This window comes from Homo sapiens, chromosome 19 (genome assembly GCF_000001405.40).
Source record: "Homo sapiens chromosome 19, GRCh38.p14 Primary Assembly".
Lineage (NCBI taxonomy): Eukaryota > Metazoa > Chordata > Mammalia > Primates > Hominidae > Homo > Homo sapiens.
The window spans coordinates 16,545,405-16,549,836 of record NC_000019.10 but is presented as its reverse complement, the minus strand read 5'-3'; the positions used below and the strand labels follow the sequence as shown (position 1 = coordinate 16,549,836).

Genomic DNA, 4,432 nt, shown 5'->3' with positions numbered 1-4,432 from the left:
TCAAAATTGGTCCCGATTTGTCAGCGAGGGTCTCTTTTTGAGTGGCCCTGTCTTCAGTGTGCCCAGCAACAAAATGTGGAAGGAGGAGAAAGAGCAAGCCAACTTGGCTGTCACGTCTGGATTTACTGCAACCTTTGTTTTTTCTTCTGAGCCAAAAATAAGGACGTGCAATTTGTGAATTGATTAGATGATACAATGAAAATAGGATCACAGCTAAATTAATGACGTGACTTTATTGAACGGAATAACATGGGAAGTCCAGGAACATTGTGGCAGCTGTGCTTATGAAACTTTTTTTTTTTTTTTTGGTATGTTTCATGTTTTTTGAGACAGGATCTCATTCTGTCGCCCAGGCTGGAGTACAGTGGCGCAATCCCGGCTCTCAGCAGCCACAACCTCCCAGACTCAAGGGATCCTTCCGCCTCAGCCTCCCAAGTAGCTGGGATACAGGCATGTGCCACCAAACCTGGCTAATTTTTGTATTTTTTGTAAAGATGGAGTTTCACCTTGTTGCCCAGGCTAGTCTCAAACTCTGGGGCTCAAGCTATCTGGCCTGTTATGTTTTTGGTTTAAGAGACAGGGTCTCACCTTATTACCCAAGCTGGACTGCGGTGGCACGACCACAGCTTCCTGCAGCACCAAACCCTACATTCCAGTCCCCTGCCTCAGCCTCCCAAGTAGCTGGTCCAGGTGTACACTACCACACCCAGCTAATTTTTAAAATATTTTTAGAGATGGGGCTCTGTGTTACCCAGGCTGGTCCGGAACTCCTGGGCTCAAGTGATCCACCTGCCTTGGCTCCCATAGTGTTGGGATTACAGGTGTGAGCCACCGTGCCCAGCCTGAAGCCATTTTTGAGTATTGACAGCCAAGACTGTGTACCTGCTACATGCCCAGCTCAGTGGTGAGCTTTTCACACACGATACCTTTGTGAGTTTTATTAGCCTTGTTTTTCAGGTGAAAATGAGGCCCAACGGGGTCAAGTCACTCATCTGGGATTACATAACTGCTTAAATCTGGCTCCAGAACCCATTTTTCCCCATTACTTAAGCCATCCCCAGCAAAGGATTTCTTTCAGACAGAAAGGGTTTGAGTTTCTGCTGAAACTGTTGCCCATGTCCTTTTCATTCATAATCTTTTTGTTTAGTGATTTACTAAGCACTGGCTGTGTCAAGCAGCAGGAAACAGATATGTAAGCCTCCTACCTTCAAAGCACTCAGCCTAAATGACAGGTATGTAACTAAGTAGCACATGGGAGCTACTTAGAAATGCTAAGACCCGGGGGATGGGGGACTAGGGGGAGGTGGCAGGGCTTACGCCTGTAATCCTAATATTTTGGGAAGCCAAGGTGGGCAGATCACCTGAGGTCAGGAGTGCAAAACCAGCCTGGCCAACATAGTGAAAGCCCATCTCGACTAAAAATACAAAAAACTAGCCAGGCGTGGTGGCACGCTCCTGTAATCCCAGCTACTTGGGAGGCTGAGGCAGGAGAATCGCTTGAACGTGGGAGGCAGAGGTTGCAGTGAGCCGAGATCGCACTGCTACACTCCAGCCTGGGTGACAGAGCGAGACCCTGTCTTCAATAAAACCCCACAAAACTTTAGTTACCATCTGACCCTGACCACAATGAGACCATTCCGATTAAGGGGTCCAGACTCAAGAAATCACAACTAGCAGACATATGGGCCACAGAACCCCCTCAGTGCACCTGGCCCTCCATGTTGCTGCTTAGGTGAGTCCCTTCACAAGGCTCATCTCACTCGAGGTGTCCACTTTACTTGCTGGAGAGTATCTGCAGCAGCCAGTCTACCAGCTCTTTCTACTGCTTTCTTCTGACCAGTAGATTCTGATTTGACCCTTTGAAATGAGCTTGGTAGAGGTCCCTCTGAGGCTTATATTTTCAATCTCAGATACATGGCTTTTTTGTTTCTGTTTTTGTTTTGAGACAGAGTCTCGCTCTGTCACCCAGGCTAGAGGGCAGTGGCGCAATCTCGGTTTGCTGCAACCTTCCCCTCCCAGGTTCAAGTGATTATCCTGCCTCAGCCTCCTGATTAGCTGGAATTAAAGGTGCCTGCCCCCACGCCCGGCTAATTTTTGTATTTTTAGTAGAGATGGGGTTTCACCATGTTGGCCAGGCTGGTCTCGAAATCCTGACTTAAGTGAGCCGCCTGCCTCAGCCTCCCAAAGTGCTGGGATTACAGGCATGAGCCACCATACCCAGCAGCATTTTAAACAATCTGAAACAAATGTATGAAAGTAGTGACCGTGGGTGTACTAACTTTCTAGAAGGTAGCTGAGCAATCTCAGTATTGAATTTGCACACCCTTTGACTCTACACAAGGTTTGTATCTACTAAGACACTTTTTTTTTGAGACAGAGTCACTCTGTTGCCCAGGCTAGAGTACAGTGGTGCAGTCTCGGCTTACTACAACCTCCACCTCCAGACTCAAGTGAGTCTCCTGCCTCAGCCTCCCGAGTAGCTGGGATTACAGGCACGTGCCACCACGCCCGGCTAATTATTTATTTTTTAGTAGAAACGGGATTTCTCCATGTTGGCCAGGCTGGTCTCGAACTCCTGGCCTCAAGTGATCTGCCCGCCTTGGCCTCCAAAAGTCCTGGGATTACAGGCGTGAACCTCCACGCCCAACCCTATATACACTTAAGACACTTTTAACAGTGGCCTAAAAATGGAACCAAGCCAGGAGACTAGAGTCTCACTTCAGTAAATTGTGGTGAGTCCACACCATGGCATCCTATGCAGCCTCAAAAATCACAACATCGCCCGGGCGCAGCAGCTCACGTCTGTCATGCCAACACTTTAGGAGGCCGAGGCGGGTGGATCACGAGGTCAGGAGTTCAAGACCAGCCTGGCCAGCATGGTGAAACCCTGTCTCTACTAAAAATACAAAAATTAGCTGGGTGTCATGGCACATGCCTATAATCCCAGCTACTCAGGAGGCTGAGGCAGGAGAATCTCTTGAACTTGGGAGGCGGAGGTTGCAGTGAGCCGAGATCATGCTACTGCACTCCAGCCTAGGCAACAGAGTGAGACTCTGTCTAAAAAAAAAAAAAAATGACAATACAGATTCATTAACCTGTTCTGATTGAGGAGCCTATTAAGAATCCTGTAAACGCTGTGTATCTTCAACCCTCAAAAAGGCATTTATTTTGCTACCAATTTTGTTCATGGTTCTCTGAAATCTATCCATTGGAGATCCCAAGTTAAAACTCCTTGATGTAGCCGGGCACGGTGGCTCACACCTGTAATCCCAGCACTTTGGGAGGCCGAGGCAGGTGGATCACCTGAGGTCAGGAGTTTTAGACCAGCCTGGCCAACATGGTGAAACCATCTCTACTAAAAATACAAAAATTAGCTGGGGGTAGGCCGGGCGCAGTGGCTCACGCCTGTAATCCCAGCACTTTGGGAGGCCGAGGTGGGCGGATCACGAGGTCAGGAGATTGAGACCATCCTGGCTAACACGGTGAAACCCCGTCTCTACTAAAAATACAAAAAATTAGCCGGGCGCGGTGGCGGGTGCCTGTAGTCCCAGCTACTCGGGAGGCTGAGGCAGGAGAATGGTGTGAACCCGGGAGGTGGAGCTTGCAGTGAGCAGAGACTGCACCACTGGACTCCGGTCTGGGCAACAGAGTGAGACTCCTCAGAAAAAAAAAAAAATTAGCTGGGTGTGGTGTGCACCTGTAGTCCCAGCTACTCGGGAGGCTGAGGCAGAATTGCTTGAACCCCAGAGGCAGAAGTTGCAGTGAGCAGAGATCACACCACTGCACTCCAGCCTGGGTGACAGAGCAAGACTCTGTCTCAAAAAAAAAAAAAACAAAAAAAACAAAAAAAACTTCTTCATGTAGATTTTACCTGGCATGAAAAGTGCCCACACTCTGGATTACTGACTGTTCTTCAAATAGTATGGGCTGGGCACGGTGGCTCATGCCTGTAATCCCTGCACTTTAGGAAGCCAGGGCAGGCAAATCAGTTGAGGTCAGGAGTTCAAGACCAGCCTGGCCAACATGGTGAAACCCCGTTTTTACTAAAAATACAAAGATTAGCTGGGTGTGATGGCAGGCGCCTGTAATCCCATCTACTTAGGAGGCTGAGGCAGGAGAATCACTTGAGTGTGGGAGGCGGAAGGTGCAGTGAGCCGAGATTGAACCACAGCACTCTAGGCTGGGCAACAGACAGGACTCCGTCTCAAAAAAATATATAAAAAATTTAGGGCCAGGCACGGTGGCTCATGCCTGTAATCCCAGCACTTTGGGAAGCTGAGGCGGGTGGATCACCTGAGGTTGGGAGTTTGAGGCCAGTCTGACCAACAGGCAGAAACCCCATCTCTACTAAAAATAAAAAACTAGCCGGGTGTGGTGTCGCATGCCTGTAATCCCAGCTACTCGAGAGGCTGAAGCAGGAGAATTGCTTGAA

The 4,432-nt window shown here is 48.9% G+C and overlaps 1 annotated feature.

The window, feature by feature from the left end:
* Positions 1,700–1,799: an enhancer, noted in NCBI's record as "active region_14237". NCBI's record gives its function as "activates an Ori minimal core promoter by ATAC-STARR-seq in GM12878 lymphoblastoid cells {active_cell/tissue: GM12878}" and the evidence as "EXISTENCE:reporter gene assay evidence [ECO:0000049][PMID:35858748]".